The sequence below is a fragment of the Homo sapiens genome, chromosome 2, assembly GCF_000001405.40.
Source record: "Homo sapiens chromosome 2, GRCh38.p14 Primary Assembly".
NCBI lineage: Eukaryota > Metazoa > Chordata > Mammalia > Primates > Hominidae > Homo > Homo sapiens.
Genome location: NC_000002.12, coordinates 2,525,235 through 2,544,294, shown reverse-complemented (window position 1 = coordinate 2,544,294; position 19,060 = coordinate 2,525,235). Strand labels below are relative to the sequence as shown.

The window sequence follows — 19,060 nt, the reverse complement described above, 5'->3', positions numbered from 1 at the left end:
GCCTGCCTCGGCTTCCCAAACTGCTGGGATTACAGGCGTGAGCTACCATGCCTGGCCCTACATAATCTTTTTCCAACTTGATGTTTCCTTGGTTTGGGGCATGAAAGAGAATGTAGCTTAAAGCTGATCCTAAATGTTCGCTGCTCCAGATGTGGCCCACGGACAGCAAGCACCGGCATTGCTGGGATAGAGGTCAGAAGACATTCCCTGTGAAGGACCACATCATAAATATTTCAGCTTTTCTGGGCCACACAGGGCCTCTGTTGTTTGGTCTCCTTTTTTTTTTTTTTTTCAATCCTTTAAAAATATAAAAAGCCATTCTTAGCTTGCTGTGTACACACACAGGCTAGGAGCTGGGGCTGGTCCTCGGGTGGGTGGCAGTCCGTGGAGTCCTGACCTAGGAGGCGGTTAGAAATGTGGAATCACAAGCCTTTGCCTACCTCTACTGAAGCAGAATTTGCATTTTAACAAGAGGCCCAGGAGATTTGTGTGCACATTAAAGTTTGAGAAGCAAACAACTTATTAATCCATGTCAACTAAGGTAGAGGCTGATTTTCATATTTGTCATTTATAAATTGATTTCATTGAGATATTTAGTACCTCCTTTGCTGCAATCTGTGGTCTGAACTACATTATGCAGTACTTTTAAAATACAGACACACAAACCCAGGTGTTTCATCTTCAGCGAGCAATTCAAAGGGTCCCAGAACATGCAAGCTGAGAGATGTTTGCTTTGTGCTCTGAGAGCAATGGAGAAAGCTAGTGACCTGCTGTGCTTAACTGACCCGGAAATAGCTTTGCACTTAATTTTAATTTGCTTTGGGTGGCAACGGTGTTCTCTTTCTGAGGAGAAAAGCAGCAGCCCCCCACTCCGGTGACAGGCTACGGCTTCGACTGATTGCAGAGACATCTAACGGCGAGGGGAGGCAGGGCCACTGCAGAGCCGGGCGCCATCTTCCTGCCGAGAAGGAAGAAGCGCCTGCGGCAGCTTCCCAAGACGCTGGCGAGCTCCGTGCTCCACCTCGGAGGGGCCGTGGGGGCCTCCCCACAACCAGAGGCCACCTGCGCTCGGGCTCCTTACAGCCAGAAGTAGACTCCAGGTCTAGGGGAAAGGCCCAGAGAAGGGACACTGCGATCCTCTGGCAGGACTGATTTATTCTGTCTTCTCCAACTAGACCAGCTCAGGCAACGTGAAAGTGCCTTCAAGGAGAGCTCTGGGGTCCTGCAGGCCCCACTTCCCACCTCTTCTCACTGACCTCAGGCACAGGTGGCTTCTGTGATCTCCTTCCCGCTCCCAGTCCGCTCTCATCGCAGACACCTGGGAGGATCTGTGCCCACAGCCTCGGAGGGCCCTTCTCAGGGCCTTGCTCTTTTTTTTTTTTTTGAGACAGAGTTTCGCTCTTGTCGCCCAGGCTGGAGTGCAATGGCGTGATCTCGACTCACTGCAACCTCCACCTCCCGGGTTCAAGAGATTCTCCTGCCTCAGCTTCCCGAGTAGCTGGGATTAGAGGCGCCCGCCACCACGCCCAGCTAATTTTTGTATTTTTGGTAGTGATGGGGTGTCCCCAGATTGGCCAGGCTGGTCTCCAGCTCCTGACCTCAGGTGATCCACCTGCCTCGGCCTCCCAAAGTACTTTTCTGGTAGTTCTTTATAGCAACACAAGAAGGGCCTAAGACACTACCTGTCACCCCCAGGGACACCCCTGGGTTCTGCTGAGTGCCAGGCCGCCTCCTGGGCACTTGGACTGGGCAGTGGTTTGCCTCCCAATCACTCTTGTCTTGTGGCAGCTGTGCTCCCTTCCCTCTGAGACAGACGGGCTCAGCAGGGGAGGCTGTGGAGCCTCCTATGCTTCCCCGCAGGCCAGGCTGTCCCCAGAGAGTGCTTGGGGCTGCATCCACCATCTCCCATGACACAGGAGAACTGCTGGAGACAGACATGCAGGACTGTTGGGTGCTGGGGACAGGTTTGTGTCCAAATAGATAATAACTTTCCCATAGTCACTCAATATCAAGAGGCAGAGCTAGAATTCTAATACGTATTTTTCTGACATCAGTTTCCTCCACCTCATGATGACACGACATTGTTTCTCATTGTAAACTCTCAAAATATAGTGGCTTTAATGTTCAGGACCCTCTGCTCTTTGGTATTTCTTTGGGCTGTTTTCTTGCGCTGGTGAATATTGTACAGATGTTTTAGCTAATTGCAGAACTTGAACGCAAAGCCTGGAAATTGCATGTATATATTTAGTAGCCTATTTGCTGATCTTCAGGGTCATAGAAAGCATCTTTTGTTGCAGGGAATGTTGGTTGTTTCCCTGTAGAAGGTCTCCATTTTTTTTTCTTAATTAAAATGAACCTGGTAGAGGTAAAATTTCAGCTAAGCACAACACCTCTCGGTGGAAAGACCTCCATCTGTAACGTTTGCAGCTCAGGTATGTCCCAGTGACTAGGTTCAGGCCAAGGAGATGTAGGCAAGGGAGCTGTGTCTGATGCTTGGGAAATGTTCTTCTAAACTGGGGATGCCCCCTCTTTCCCCCTCTCCTCCTGTGCTCTGGGATGTGGATAGGATGGGTAAGGGCAGGTTCAGGACCCCTCACAGCACTGTGGCCCAGCAGCACAGCGGGGAGGCTTGAACTCCAGTGCTAAGGATGCCAGGGAGCCCTGGACTGCCTGGTTCTGGGAGCTTTCTGTGGGGATGCGACCTTCTGCTTTGTTTAGTCATTATAATGCTGACATTTCCATCACACACTACAGAAATGATCAACGTATGCCCCTCACAAGAGTTGAGATGAAGGGCGATGCCTCAGACCAGTGACTTTCCTAGATGCACTCCAGACCCAGATTCCTGAGCTTTGTGGACCCAGAACTCAGGCAAGAGCTCAGAGGACACATAATTTTTCCTTTCCCCCAAATCCACAACCTTCTGACAGGGCCTCTGGTGGGTGGTGAAACTGAGGGTTTGAAAGCATCATTAATTGTTCTCTGCTGTCTGCATCATCTCTTTCTTTGGACTTGACAACTATTAAATGATCTAAAGGCAACTCTCTTTTCTAAAGACCACTTACAGCCTCTCCCTCTTCTCAGCTCTGTGATCATCTCCCTTTGTCCCCCCTTTATACAAAGCCCTGTACTTTCACCCACTGGAGCATCAGCCTGCCTCCCCACCCTTCAGTGGTCTTAAAACTTTGCCCCTCTGAATTCTCTTTCTGTCTCCACACCTATTCAGGCTACATCTCAGCAAGTCATTCTCCCGGAAAAGATATCAGAATAACTCTGGCTGAATTAGTATGTTAATAATAGCTACAGATCAAGGATATTTGCACTAGGCAACTCTTCAACTCAAAGGCATCCATTTGTAATATGAGAATGTCAGGCATGAGGAGCTGGCTTGGGAGACACAGGCATTTTGGATTTAGTTTCCCACACCCTGAAAGTGTTTGCCTGATCACAACACATTTCCTGTCCATGCTTAGACCAAAATCTAAAACATTACATCGAGTTTCTGAAAGGGCTGTTGTCATCCAAGAGGGACCATGGTGGAATCGTCGTGGTGGTTTTCTGAACAGCTGAGATGAACATGTCAGAAGGTACTCAGAGATCACTTGGCTCTGGAGGAGTCAAACAGACCATGTCCCAGGAAACTGGGGTGTCCAGCCCCATGCACCTCGAGTCTCTATTCTGTCCGTCTCCACCGGGCTGGATGGTGCAGGACGCGCACCAGGCTGGCTTCAGCCCTGAACAGAAGCTATTACACTCAGAGGTCACCTGTCTATCTTCCCAGGCCCTCTCTTGCCAGGCAGCGGAGCATGGGTTGAGGAGGAAGGTATCCAACCTGATTAGATGGGTCCCCTGTGCAATATTTATGATCTTAAGTAAATTATTTATATTTTACTGCTCAAATATCCTCTACTATAGATTGCAGGTAATCATACATGTTTGAAGGACTCTAAACATTAAATGTTTAAGTGTTGCTAAGTCCCCAGTACTGTGGTCACGCCTGGCAATTGATTTTCACCCTTTCTTTCTTCTCTCGTGCACCTGGGGGTTTCCCCCTTCCCTTTTCCTCTTTCTCTCTCTCTGCTCCTTTCTTCCCACTCTCCTAATTGGCACTGGGACTTTTCTATCAACGGATTCATTGGCAATTCGCTGGAAATTCTAGTAGGTAAAGGCAGTGAGTTTTCTTGAGGATGTTGTAAAGGATTAAAAAAATCTAGCCAGAGCTGGAAAAAGAGAGGAAGAAAGAAGAAAAGGAAGGGGCCCAGGATGGGAAGTTAAACATTTTTTTTTTTTAAAGGAGGGAGGAAGAGGGGCCTGAGTGCAGGCAGAAAAGTTTAGCTTTTCTTCTTCTCCCAGCTTCCAGGTGGCCCCTGGAAACCCACTCCAGCTGGTTTTCCTGGGGGCTTCTAAGCTGCACCCTAACTGTGGGTGGTGTCCGCCAGTCTCCACTTCACAACATCTTTCTGGAGACTTGGCAAGTTATGGCGGGTGGCTGCAAACCTCACTCTGCAAACAACCTTACCCTGGGAGTTTGGTGAGGACAGGGCAGGGGTCGGGGAAGCTGTGCCTGTCACCTGTTGTCAACTGGTGGATCTGATTTGTTTGATTCAACAAATATTCACTTGAATGAAAGAATTCATTCACATATCCATCGTCCGCTTATGCCTCACAGCCCCTGTGCTGCACACAGGAGGTGCCATGATAATCACACAGACCTGGCCCCTAAGCCCTCACTGCTGAGGAGGAACCTGGCGGAACGTTCCCAGGAGAGCTGGGAGGGGCACAGCCGACTCTACTAAAAATAGAAATCTGCTAATGTTCAGACCCACTGTCTTTTGCCACCCCTACTTTCAGCACGCCCTATATTATTCTCACCATGAGCTTCCTCTGCAAGGAAGAGGGAAACAAATCGCTGTGTTTGTCCATTCTTCTGCAGGGTCGTTTTGACCCTGAGGAAACTCTAGGCTCATGTTTAGGTTTTACAGACACGGTGACCTTTCCTATTGTCTCTGCTCCCAAGCCTCAAGGGGAAGCACACTGGAGGTGTGAGGAGGCTAGAGGTTTGTCTAGTAAAACTCCAGGGAGAGTTTTACTAGAAAACAACATATGTGCTTCTGAAAATTACCCTGCTATTCAAAATCCTGCAATAAAAACCCCAGGGCGTATGAGATTGAAGACAAAACACTCAAAATCTTAATCAGTGACACGTTTAGAGAGAGAGAGACAGAGAGAGAAGAACCTAATAAAAATGTCAGCACAGCTTTCCACATGTAAATGGTTAAGAATCAGAATCCTACCATAAATGCAGCTCTTTACCTTGAGAAAGACCTGCCATGAGCTTGTGGAAGTGGCTGTGAGAGGGTTTGCTGCTTGGGGGTTGTCGCGAGTGGTGGAAGGCAGGTTCCCTGAAGTGATGGGAAAACAGTAATGCCTGATGTTTGTGGGTGGCCCCACACCCCGCGAGGAGCTGAGGTAACAGTAGTGTTTGAGGTGTGTTATGCATTTCTAGCTCTTACCTGGTTTGGTTCTTTGGGTCGCCCAGTATTTCTTTCAGATGAGTCCGTGCAGAAGCAAACATGAAATCCACATTTGGCCAAAGCTCTTTCCTAACATATCAATCCTGTTGGAACAAATTGGCTTTTCTGAAACCAGGGCTATCATGGAACACACTGTATTTCCTAATTGGCTGGGTATGGTCCTGAAGAAAGCCTATAGTCCGGTGCAATCATTACTAGCATCCCCATTTCACTCTCAAACTAACCCAGTTCCAACAGTAGAATTCTCTGGTCATTCTAGGTCTATTCAGCCAGTGCAATCATTACTAGCATCCCCATTTCACTCTCAAACTACCCCAGTTCCAACAGTAGAATTCCCTGGTCATTCTAGGTCTATTCGGCCAGTGCAATCATTACTAGCATCCCCATTTCACTCTCAAACTACCCCCAGCTCCAACAGTAGAATTCTCTGGTCATTCTAGGGTCTATTCGGCCGGTGCAATCATTACTAGCATCCCCATTTCACTCTCAAACTACCCCCGTTCCAACAGTAGAATTCTCTGGTCATTCTAGGTCTATTCGGCACCCCGAGGACCAGCAGGCTATCCCACCTGAAAAGTATGTTTTGTAATGAAAGCATTCCCTTGGTGTGTGGGCCCATAGTTTCTCCCACAGTTGTGTAGCATGACGGGCAGGTGGTTCTTCCATTAGCACCCTTCCGTATTCTTTGGGTCCCAGCCCTAAGCCTCCTTTTTAATAAGCTCTTCTCTAATTCAGCCTAAATCAACTCCTTCTTTCGGACTTCACCCTCAGTTCCATCTTAGCTGTTATATTGTAACTCTGGGAATGAGTCCAACCAGATGAAGGAGGTGAGGGATACTCAAGGTCTAAGACTATCAGTTCCATAATTGGTAAATCTCTCCATATCTTCCTACAATTTTTGTATTTGTTTTTTATTTTTAATTTTAGTTTGCGCAGAAGTCACCTGGAGCACTTGTTAACAATACAGATTTCTGGGCCCCATTAATAGAGATGTTCATTCAGGAGATCTCAGAGATTTAGGGAATGTGGATTTTAAATGAAGATACTGGGTTGTTATGAGGGGTTGCTCCATGGCCCACACTTTGGGAGGCGTTGCTCTAGATCCTAGACCTCATAGCCTCATCCCACAGCACTCAGCCTGACCAGCAGCAAGTGGTAAATAATGCCTGTGAATAGATGCAGTGCTATAGTTCACCTGTCACTCTTTTAAGCTTTACAGATATTTGAGGATTCAAAGCCAGGTGCTTGAAGGGTAAGCTCTGGGCATGGCAATGCTGCGATGGAACCCTGGGGCCTGCACAGCTGAGCAACCTTTCAAAATTAACTGAAAATCTTTGGCCTTGGTTATCATATCCACAAAATGGTCTGCATCATGCCAATCTCTCAGGGTTATTGCAAAATGAAGAAGCGACACTATGCACATCTCCTCTCTCAAAAATGCAAAAGTCATGCATAACAAAGACAGGCCCTTAATGTCGTCATTGTTTTAAAAAAGCAAATAACCTATAGAGGAATTAACACTTAAATCCATTATGCACCCTTCGTCAGCTGACATAGCAGACACAAATGGCTGATGAAAACAGAGCCTGGCCAGTGCTGGTGGGAGGAGTGTGATTCAGATAGCCCCAGGAAGGACAGACAGACAGGAGAGCCTCCTGACCAGGGAAGGACAGACAGACAGGAGACCCTCCTGTCCCCAAGAAGGATAGACAGACAGCTGCTCAGGGAAGGACAGACAGACAGGAGACCCTCCTGCCTCTGAGAAGGATAGACAGACAGCTGCTCAGGGAAGGAGAGACAGACAGACAGGAGAGCCTCCTGCCCCCGGAAAGGAAAGGCAGACAGCTGCTCAGAGAAGAACAGACAGACAGACAGACAGACAGGAGATCATCCTGCCCCCGGGAAGGACAGACAGACAGACACACAGGAGACCCTCCTGCCCCCGGAAAGGACAGGCAGACAGCTGCTCAGAGAAGAACAGACAGACAGACAGACAGGAGATCATCCTGCCCCCGGGAAGGACAGACAGACAGACAGACACACAGGAGACCCCCCTGCCTGTTTGCTCCCATCTGCTCTGCCTCCCCCCCCAGACCCACACGCTTCGCCACACCTTTGCCAACAGTACAAAGAGCATGCACAGCACATTCATTCAAAGAAAATGAGACAAAAGGAATCAAAGGGCACTTTTGCAAATACACCAGAGGAAAGACGCGCTTCAGATGAAAGAGCAAAAGTCCTCCAAGTCAGGGACGACAGAGGCTGGCTCTAAAACGTCGGTGCTTCTAAGGCTCTGGTTTGATTAGGAATCACCTGGGGGAGGAACCAATGTAATAATTTCTATGTTAGGAAGTCAGGCAGAGGCGGCAAGGAGAGCAATGGAGTGGGGCTCAGTGGCATTAGTCTGGGCAGGCTGGAAGCCCGTCTAGTGGAACTAGCACAGCACACAGACCCAGCCCCTGTCTTTGGGCTTGTCCCTTGCTGACCAGAGGATTTTTGGTCACCTTGTCCTTGAGCCTGAAATTTAAAAGAAAGATGAAGTCTTCCCACGTGCCCCTCCCAAACTCGCTCCTCATCCCATTAAAAAATACCCGCTGAAAGGGCTGCGGGCATTCCAGGGTGCTGTGATGTGTGGCAGCTCCAGAGCAAGGGGAGACGGTGGCTCTTCTCTTCTCGGAATGGATGGGGCCACCCCTCGGTCATTAGCCCCCATTCTGGGTACCACACTCAGGAGATGAACATACCTGAGCTGGTGCAAGGACTGCTCTGAGAGGTCTCCACACCCTGCCATGAGAGGAGAGATCCAGGGAACTGAGCATCCTGTTCCTGGAATAAAGACTTCTTTTTTTGGAAGGGTGGTGGGGTGAAACTCATTGCATTTAAGATACCAGGTGGGAGAAGAACAAAAGTTTTTTTAGTTCACTGCCCTGAACCCATTTTCCAGACCGGAGGACTCTTGATGCTGTCTGCCCTGCTTGCTTCGTGGGGTGACCACATCTCAAAGGCAGTTCTGGATACATAAGCACCATGAGCTGCCAAGTACTATGCAGACATAAAGGACATTCCCATCCAAAATGTGAGCATCCACAGGTCAGCTGGCCGAGCAGCACCAGCCTGCGTGGTTCTGAGCAGTGTGGAGCATCCCGCTTTGTATCATTCACAAAATTACAAGAAGAAAGTAGGGAGGAAGGCTGTCACTTGAAACAAGTAAATCCTTAGAAGATGCTGGAGATGTACAGATTTTGTCTATCCCACAGGGCTGAAATCATCCATTAATTTTCAGAATTGCTGGCAGCCATTTCTGAAAACCCTCAAAGGAATGTACGGGAACCATAGCTTGCATGGGGAAAAGCCCTAGGGTTTCGCCTTCCTGGATATGAAGATGGCACTTGTTCACCTCCACATACCAGCAATGATCTATGTTAGCTTGATTTTGCTAATGTGGATGCATTTACTACACAAAAAACAGGCTGTTCAGCAGCCAATCCAATTAATATCAATACTATTTTGGTCCTGTTTGTATTAATATACTTAAGGAGTTGACTAATGTGGAATATTCTTAATATGTGAGAGAAGTACCCAGGCTTACCCAGCCTGGGTAAGGCACAGACCTTACAATCAGACATACCTGGACTGAGAACTCCTGGGGGTGGCTCAGCAGGTGGCACTGGGTTAGACTCCTAGGCTCATCCTTCTCCACCCCTGCCACTGCCTGCTCCTGACTGTCTTCTTAGGAAAGCCCACTCCTCCCCTCCTCAGCTGTGAGCATCCCCCTTTTATTAAACTCTGTATGCACACTTGTGTGTTTGCACCTAATATATAGCATTGTTAGGTTGCCGGGAGCCTCCCCCTTTTATTAAACACACGTGTGCACATGCTTGTGCATATACAGCTAACAAGAAGTATAGCAGAAATGAATTTTAAATTTCCAGACACCTGCAATATAAAACTCAAAATATCTGTATACTGGCTGGGCGCGGTGGCTCATACCTGTAATCCCAGCACTTTGGGAGGCCGAGGCAGGTGGATCACCTGATGTCAAGGGTTCAAGACCAGCCTGGGCAACGTGGTGAAACCCTGTCTCTACTGAAAAATACAAAAATTGGCCGGGCATGGTGGCATGCACCTACAGTCCCAGCTACTTGGGAGGCTGAGGCAGGGGAATCACTTGAACCACGAGGCAGAAGTTGCAGTGAGTCGAGATCATGTCATTGCACTCCAGCCTGGGTGACAGAGCAAGACTCTGTCTCAAAAAACAAAACAAAACAAAACAAAACTGTATATCGTATGCACCTAACAATAAGTAAGCAGAAATAAATTTTAAACTCCCAGACACCTGTAATATAAAACTCAAAATATCTGATTATGCAACATTTTTTCCAAATGTGCACGCAATCCATTGCAAATTCCCTGAAATAAAAAGTCAGTCTCACGAATGTTATCTTTCCACATATAATACCATCTATTTCAATAAAGTTTACATATACATTCTGATATTTTAATAAAGTTTATAAATGTTGCAATATTTCTCATAAATTTATTAGAAAGTTTATTTATCACAAATTTAATAGAAAAAATTTATAATTCAACTCATGGAACAATGGAAGATGTAGCATAACACTGAAGGCATTATCTAAAACAAGTTAAAAAAATTAATAAAACACATGCCCTACAGACTTCAGAGCTCTTTCTGACAGGATTACCAAACTCTGTGACAAAAGGGAATACAGTAGATATTTAAATGACTTCACTAAAGTGTTTGATACTCTGCATTTTCATAAACAATTGACACCCAAGCAACTATGAATGTGAATTAATAATAGACTTTCCATAAGCTACAATTCTAATAAGTACATACTTCTTAGAATATGTAAAATTAAAAAGACTAACCACACCACGTGTTGGTGAGGGTGTGGAGGAACTAGAACTTCCTTTCACTGCTGATGGGAATGTAAAATGGTGCAGCCACCTTGGAAAACAGCTTGTCAGTTTCTTAAAAAATTAAACATATATTTACTATATGTGTGATCTAGCCATTCAATTCCTAGATATTTTCCAAAGAGATAGAAAAATATATTCATACAAAGACTTGAACATGAATCTTCATGGTAATGTTAATTGTAATAGACCAAGACTGGAAGCAACCCAAGTATCATGAACAGCCAAATGGATACTGAAATTTTGGTCTATCCATAGCATGGAATACTGCTCAGCAATGATAAGCAATGGCCTACTGACATACACAACATGGCTATGTCTCTAACTCTGCATGCTGCATAAAAGAAGCCAAACAAAAACATTCCACATATATCAAGCTTTAAGAAATGCAAATTCATCTATATTAACTGAGGACAGATCAGCACTTGATTGGGGATAAAGAGAGTAGGAGGAACAGCAGAGAGGGTTAACAAATGGAGCAAAAGGGAGCATTGGAGGTGAACATGTTCACTGCCTTCATTGTGGTAATGGTTTCACAAGTGTATACATGTGTTAAAATTGATCAGATTATACACTTTGAATGTGTGTTATTCATTCTATATCAGTTATCCCTTAATAAGATGTTTAATGTTTTTAAAGGGAGATTCCCACTGCCATAAACCAAGAACAGTAACCTGTGGTTCCAGTCCACTCAAAGGATGACATCTTGCAATTAAAGGTTTTTACTGTTTAGTCACAATATTCAACATTTTGAGGTGGAAAAGTCACGGCATTCTCACACACGCCTAGGAAAAGTGTGAAATGGTCCTGTTGATCTGGACGGCGATTTGTCAATGTGCACCCAGAGACTTACAAGTGGTTGTAACCTTAGATCAGCTGGGAACCCACTAGGATGCATCGTCCAGAGAAACACCCATGTATGTATTTTTGAAAATATCCAAAATGTTATTTAAAACAGTGATAAGTGAAAAAGTAACCCAAAGCCCAACACTGAGGAATTAGTTAAATAAATGTGGACTGTGAATTGTGTATTCTCTCTGTCTTTCTCAACACAAATGCTCTCTCTCTGTCTCTCTCTCTCACACACAAACATAAAGATTTTTGAAAATAAAAAACACAAATGGAAGGATTCTGCATAGGATCGTGCAGTATGCTCATCTATAATGTACCTTGTGCTTGTTTCCACGTCAGTAAATAAAGAATTCACTTGTTTTTTTCATGACTTTAATGTACATACTTCAAGTAATTTAACATGCCATCAAATGAGGACCCTTTAGATTTTTCCCATTTTTTTTAAAAAAATGAATAATACAGCAGTAAACTTCCAAATGCTTATATTTTTCACTTGTGAGAATTCTCCAATTTATTCTGTAGAATGAATTCTGAGAAGTGGAATTTCTGAGTCAAGCTATATACTCATTTCAAAAAGCAGCAAGTATTTGGTCTCTAAAAATTGTGCTCTAGTGTGCATGTACTCCAGCAACCTGTCCCTACTCATCCTGCCAACAGTAAAAATTACCAAATGCACTGACCTCTGTGACATGATGAGCTAAAATGGATGTACTCATTGCTCCAGTGCTTTTTTCTTTAAGCATTAGTTTGGTGAATATTTCTGACCTGTGAACTGCCTTTTTACATCTGTAACCCACAGACTCTTTTGTTTGCCTGGGTTACCTTTCTAATCAAGAAAGCCCCACTGTGTTAGTCCATTGTCATACTGCTATGAAGAAATACCAGAGACTGGTAATTTATAAAGAAAAAGAGGTTGATTGGACTCACAGTTCCACATGGCTGGGGAGGCCTCACAATCATGGCAGAAGGCAAAGGATGAGCAAAGGCACCTCTTACATGGTGGCAGGCAAGAGAGTGTGTGCAGGGGAACTGCCCTTTATAAAACAATCAGATCTTGTGAGACTTACTCACTATCATGAGAACGGCATGAGAAAAACCTGCACCCATGATTCAATTACCTCTCACTCGGTCCCTCCCATGACACATGGGGATTATGGGAGCTACAGTTCAAGATGAGATTTGGGTGGGGACAGGGCCAAACCATATCGCCCACCCAGCAGCCGCTCCATGTGACTCTGCTGGAGTGTAACCTGTGTGTGTCCTTGGCCCCTGGAAATTGCATCTGACTCTGGCTGGGCCACAGCCCTGGGCAAACCCATCAAGTCAGAATTGGCAGGTGACCCGAACAGGGCCAGTCTGTCTCTCCTCCGAATTTTCCAATCAGTAGTGTGGGGGATCACTTTCTCTTATCTTGTGATTATTGGTTGTGGGAACATTGATCTTTAATTTTTTCCCCTGCCATGTGGTTTGACTGTGATCGTAGCAGGAGAGAATAAGTCCAAATCACAAAGACCGTCAGAGACTCATTGAGACCGGAATGTCGCCATGCCTATTCCATTTTCTGCCTTATTCCTTAAGCCAATAGATTTTTCCTAATTGAGCCAATGGAGGTTGGCTCATTGTCTAGTATCCAGTATCCTTTCACTGTTTTTAAAAAGTTGATTAGCCTGGGCATGGTGGCTCACGCCTGTAATCCCAGCACCTTGGGCAGTCAAGATGGGAAGATCACCAGAGCCCAGGAATTCAAGAGTAGCCTGGGCAACATAGGAAAACTCCATTTCTACAATTTTTTTTTTTTAATTAGCTGGGTGTGGTGACACGTGCCTGTAGTCCCAGCCACTTGGGAGGCTGAGGTGGAAGTTGCAGTGAGCCATGATTGTGCCACAGCACTCCAGCCTGGGTAACAGAGTGAGATCCTGTCTCAAAAAGTATTAATAAATAAATAGTTGATTGAAGTTTTCATTTGATAAAACAACATGGAGAAAACTAGTCCCTTGTCTCCCATTTCTGAATTAGAAAATAACAATAAGGAGCTCTAGAAAAACTAAGGTGTGCTGGGGGTCACCGAGCCAATTATTTTACCTTTTCCCAAGTGTTTATTATGTAACAAACTAAATTAATTTAAATAAAAACAGTCAACCTGAAGATGTAATCAACTGGTAACACCAGAAGCAACTGTGTGCAGAGTTGAACAAATTTAACTTCGCTCTTGAGGCAGAGTAGTCAAATCGGTCCACGCGGCGGGAACTGCTGGTGTGTGAGAGCAACCTTGGAGTACCCTACTCCACTTCTAACCAGGTCAGGTCTGGGAGCAGTTGGTGGCAGTGCCAGCCAAAAGGAGCATATGCAAAATGAATTAGGAGGTTAGTCAGCACCAAAGACGCTCAGGTCCCTCCCAGGCTGCATCGGCAGCCAGAGGAGATAGCCAAGCACTCCCAAGAAGAGGAGTGGGCAGCCAGCTCCCACTAGTAGGCCGGCAGCTCCGCTCTCCACCAGCTGTGGCCGCCATGTGGCCATCTGTGTCTGTGCCAGGCTGGAGGAGGCTGCAAAAGGCGCCCTGGCTAAATGTGACTCGAAGGACACTTTCTTGCGGAATGACCTTAGATTCTCCTTCCACATCAAGTTTCTTCCATATGACCCCCGCAGACTTGTGCATGCACTCACACGTCCATGCCCACACACACACGCATTCTGTCTTCGAGGCTAATAGTGGCTCCATGTGTGCAGCTGCCTGTGCCCTGGAAGGAGAGAGTGTCTGTGGCACCTGCCAGAGGGAGGAGACAGTATTCTGTCAGCCTGAAGCAGAGGGTTGAGTAGAAATGGCTCTGTTGCAAGTTCCACTTTTCCCTTCTGGGTGAATAGTAGACCCCGATGCTGATCACGGTGACCGAGTCCCTCGTCTTCCTGGCCTGTGCTGGCTGGAGCAGTGGCCAGTTTGACCTCACCTGAAAGCAGCCAGACTATGGTCTTAGCATTTCTTTGCTGGGAGAAGATTTCCAGAAGCCCTGCGGCTGGTATCATTAGCGTCCTGGGGCAGAGGCTGGCACCTCACTGCTCCACTGCTCCCAGGGTCCATCTTTAGTGACAGCTTGGAGGGGGGAAAGTGTACTTTTGAAAATGCTCACTGCGGGAAAAAAAAAGAAATAGAAAAGAACACTCTGCAAGAACAGTGCATGTGAAGTTAGGGTTGGTGAACAGAACAAAATGAGAACGGATGGTCCTCACTCTCCCATCCTGACCTCATCCCAACCAAAGTATTGATGACAAAGGCGGCCCCTCCATGGCCTGCCCTTCTTGGTCCCTCCTGAAGGACTCCACCTCTCACCCCTGCTGCCAGCAGAGCAGCCCCAGAAACCAACCACATCTCATCTCTCCTCAGCTGTGCCCTTAGTCAATAGTTCTTAATTTAGTGCTAAATGGACTCATGCTATTTTATAAAAATATAATGTGGGGGGAGGCTGAAATGTAGTTGCTGGCTTTAAAAACATCACCTTATTTATTGTCATTACTTTATAAAAGGAACATCTTACTCACACCCAGTGTAGGACTGCATCACGCCAACATGGAGATAATTGTTCAAGCTGAACATACTCAGCTTCATTATTCCTTACTCTTTTGTCCCCATTTTTCTCTGTTTTTCGGAGACCAGGGCCGTAGTGGCCAGGCTGTGTTAGGACCCCAGTCCTGCTGCTTTCAATAGCCAAACCTCACCTCTGCTGCCTGTCAGGTGGAAAAGGATCAACGCTACCTCGTCAGGGCGTTTACAACTGATACGGCTCGATGTAACAGCCTTCACAAGGAGTTGGCACTTATTAACAAGAAACTGGGTCTTATCCTAAGTAGATAAGTAATCAAGGTGGAATTTCAGGCAATGTGGCAAGCCAGGAGGCATCAGTACTTTGGGACCTTTTAGACAGGATACTCTGTGTGCATGCTCCTTGCCACGTTCCTGAATGGCAAGATGCCCGTGAACGCTGAGCTCCTGGGCCGGAGTCCGAGACTCAGCACCGTTCCTTTGCAATCCATGGGAAGGAGGCTACAGACGCGGCACCTGCTCTGGGAAACGACTCCCCCGAGATCCAGCTCTAAGCTCTCCAAATCTATCACCTTTGTTTATGGTTGAAAGACTTTCAATTCTGGTTAATAAAGAGCAAGTCTAGATGACACTGCCTAACCAAACAGAGTAAATGAACATAGAAAATCTTACCCTAGAACCTTGAGTAACAAAGGGTTTGAACTGCAAGGTGCCCTGACAGCAAACCCCAAGTTCACCTCTGCCCGGCCTCACTGGTCACTCTAGGTGGCTGTTGGCTCTCAGCGGCTGGCTCCCCCAGTGACCCATGTACTTGGACTATGATGTGCTTTGAACACAGACCCAGATGCCTGACTGAAGACAATCCCTCTCCTGGGAATTCAAAGCCAGAAAAGATGCACAGAGATGGAAGGAGGTAGGGAAACTTCCTTGTCAGATGAGAGTGACCTGCATTAATGCTCCTAGGATGGGCCCTGACCTTCCCAAACACCGGTGGGAATACTTCCCTTTGGTTCTGTGAGTTATCCCATAATTCTTCCAATAAACCTTAATTTTTCATCGATTGTTCTTTTTTTTTCATACTCAAGTTAGACCAAGTCAGCTTCTGTTACTTGCAACTTAAGACTCTCCATATCATGTATGCTACTTGGCAAAGCTCCTTCCCTGACCCTGAGCAGGTGACAAGATTTCCAACGCTCCACTTCCTGTGGAATGCATGTCATATTAATATCTTCTGAGAGGATGGTGGTGAAGATGACCAGACGTACGTGTGGAAAACCACTGAGAAGTGACGAAGTTCAAGGCTGCTTTTAGTTACTCCTTATACGTGCCACAGAGAAGCAGCCATTTTTCTTTCTTTTTTGTTAAACTCATTCCCGATGTCCTGAGGTTTCAAACAAGCTTGAAATATGAAACAAGCAAGCCAGCCTGGAATCATAGGTGCTCTCTAGTCCACATTTTCGGTGTATTCACCTCATAGATGATAATAATGGTGATAATAGCAATAATGTTTGGTGCTCATTTAGAACCTGTAACATATGAATGCATGTATTAACTCTGATTTTACAACTTTCACTACAGAGTTAAGGAAACTGAGGCCCCGAAAGTTAAGGGGCATGTACAGGAACCTGCAGAGAACATTAGAGTCCTTGTGTTCGCCAAGCTCTCTGTACTTCATCATGCTGGTGCCCTATTAAATAAAGAGAAAACGTGAGAATGTAGAAGCCTGGCACAGCAGGCAGGGCTGGTGGAGGGTGAAGAGGGTCGGAGTGAATGACTTTCACATCTCCATCCAGTTTTGCAGCATCAGCAGGACCAAATGCACAGTTGAATTGTGCAAATGGGAATCCCAGACACACTTCAGAGATAATAAAATTGGAGAAGTTGTGAACACCAGTGAACGAAGCTCAAAGGTAGATGAGGCTTAAGTCCTTACCTGAAGAATAATTTCTACCCCAATAAAAGGAGTCCATAGATAGTGACTTCGGCCACGTAGTCCAGAGACATGCAGTTCTGCGAACAGTAGGTGTCACGTCATTACCTCATTAGGAATGAGTGTTTCAGCTGACATGCAGGAAATGACCTCTTGCTGACTAGGGTTGGTGATGTCAGGCACTGCTGCAGCTGAGTCACCCATGATACAATGGGCTAAGTCATACACTTCATTACTAACACTTACCTTAGGAATCCTAGACATAACCTTTTCAGAGGAGCTGGGGAAGAGGGCTCGGTGAGCCAGAGGGGATCTGTCATAGAACCCTCCTCTGATCTTATAGGGAATTCTAGAAGGGGCACGAAGCTTGAGGGGAGAGGAGCTATGTTTTAATTTCTAATCAATCACTTATTATATCTCTGTCCTTGGCCAAGATTCTTACCTCTTTTGGCATTAATGTTCTCATTTGTAAAACAGAAACATGATCAGCCCTCTGCCTCCCAAAATCAAATGAGGTGATATGCATGAGAACATTTTGTATACCGCAAATGGTATTTCTGATGGCTCCAGTGTTGACAGCATTAAATACTGTGATTATTTATTTTTAATGATCTGTGCCCAGCACACAGGTAGGATGAGGAACAGGAAAATCTGGAAGGGAGACTGGCTTTGCTGTTTTGCTCAAGGCCTGCTCCATCAGGTGGGAGGATGGGCTCTGGGTGGAGAGCAGTGGAGGAGCTGGGAGGTCAGGGGAAGGCCGTGCAAGGCTGCGGAGGCTTCTCTTCTCATTTTGCAAAGGCAGGAACAGGAAGGGACAACTGAGTGGGTAGTGTATAGGAAATGAAGCACACAGAACCAAGAGCTGCCCCTGGGCCAGTGCCCACACTTAGCAAACAGGGGATAAAGACCCATCATCCAAGGAGCAAACCAGCCATTAAAAATGTAAGATGAAAATTAAGGTAGCATAAGGCCCTGAAAGCCAAAAAAGACAGGTTTTCCAGGAGGGAACACGGTAAAAAGTGATGCAGAGAAGATGTCAAGAACCAAAAGAATGAGGGCCAACAAAAGGCCTTTGATTTAGCAATAAGACATCTTTGGTGCCCTGCTAGAAGTTTACGGCAGCTCCACATGGGAGCCACAGGAGAGGGCACATTGTGAGGACACACAGCCTCCTACACCCCCAGGACTTGTCCTGATCACACGTTTGCAAAAGGTCCATCAATTGATTAATTGTTAGGAGGCTACATTTTTAAAACTTTAAAAATTTTCTCTACATCCTAGTTATATTACTAGCCTAGAAAAATTAAAACAAAAATTAATACCAATGAATCCTCATTAGGAAATTTAAAACATGAAACTACCCAGTCAGATTTTCAGGTTGCATGAAGAAGGTTTCATACCATCTGAAAAGGCTTTACCAATGGCTTAGAAAATCACTGTGCACCACCACCTGCAGTATTCTGTTACCAGGCAGGATTTGGAATTTCTCAGCAGGCGTGGCCCCTTGGTGAACCTGTGTATATCAAGCTGCCTTCTGAAGATATCTAATCTCGAGAGGTCTAATAGATGCTGTCATGGACTAATGAGAAGGTTAATATGTAAAAGTCATTAATAGAAGAACCCTCTTTAATTACAAACTGAAACAGTAAAGCAAAACCAAAATGTCCAGAACAATATTTAGGAGCATGTGTTTCGACTTGGGTTGTGATAAAAATCACTTCTGCCCCCAGTACCATGGTGAGATGCAAAATGGTACTGCATGTCTGGATGCTGGTTTCAGATACCCTCCTCCTTCCTTACAGAAACTGTTTTTGGGAAGGTTGAGCTCTGAGTCATGCATAGGAGTATGGATTCGCTTTCCTGGGTTCACTTCTAGCCAGTAGTCTCTGTGTTTTAAAAATTTAATTCTAATGGATGAATGAAAATTAATTTTAATTAGGGAAGCTGATGGGGAAGGTTTTGGCAGGAGTAGAGCTCTGCTTGAATTCAGAAAATCAATCCAAACAGAGCAGCTTCCGTCGCCCCTGGAACTAGGCTCTGTCCTACATAACCAGGTCAGCAATGGGCCGTCTTCTTATCTGTTATGAGACTGCGGAATTTGGGGCGAGCAGCACACGTTTCCTATTGCTGCATCAGTGTCACACTATACACACACCTTCACCTTTGTGTTCTCCAAAAGGGAAATCCCTGTCCCATGGGTCAATGTCACTAGACTGTGAGTGGTGGGTCCTGGGGTTTCTTTCCTGGCCTGACACCCTGGCTGGGCTGGGG

General features: G+C 45.9%; 1 annotated feature.

The window, feature by feature from the left end:
* Positions 16,266-17,465: an enhancer, noted in NCBI's record as "P300/CBP strongly-dependent group 1 enhancer chr2:2530602-2531801 (GRCh37/hg19 assembly coordinates)". NCBI's record gives its function as "activates an origin of replication core promoter dependent on BRD2, BRD4, P300/CBP, MED14 and CDK7 cofactors, with strong dependence on P300/CBP, by STARR-seq in HCT116 cells {active_cell/tissue: HCT116}" and the evidence as "EXISTENCE:reporter gene assay evidence [ECO:0000049][PMID:35650434]".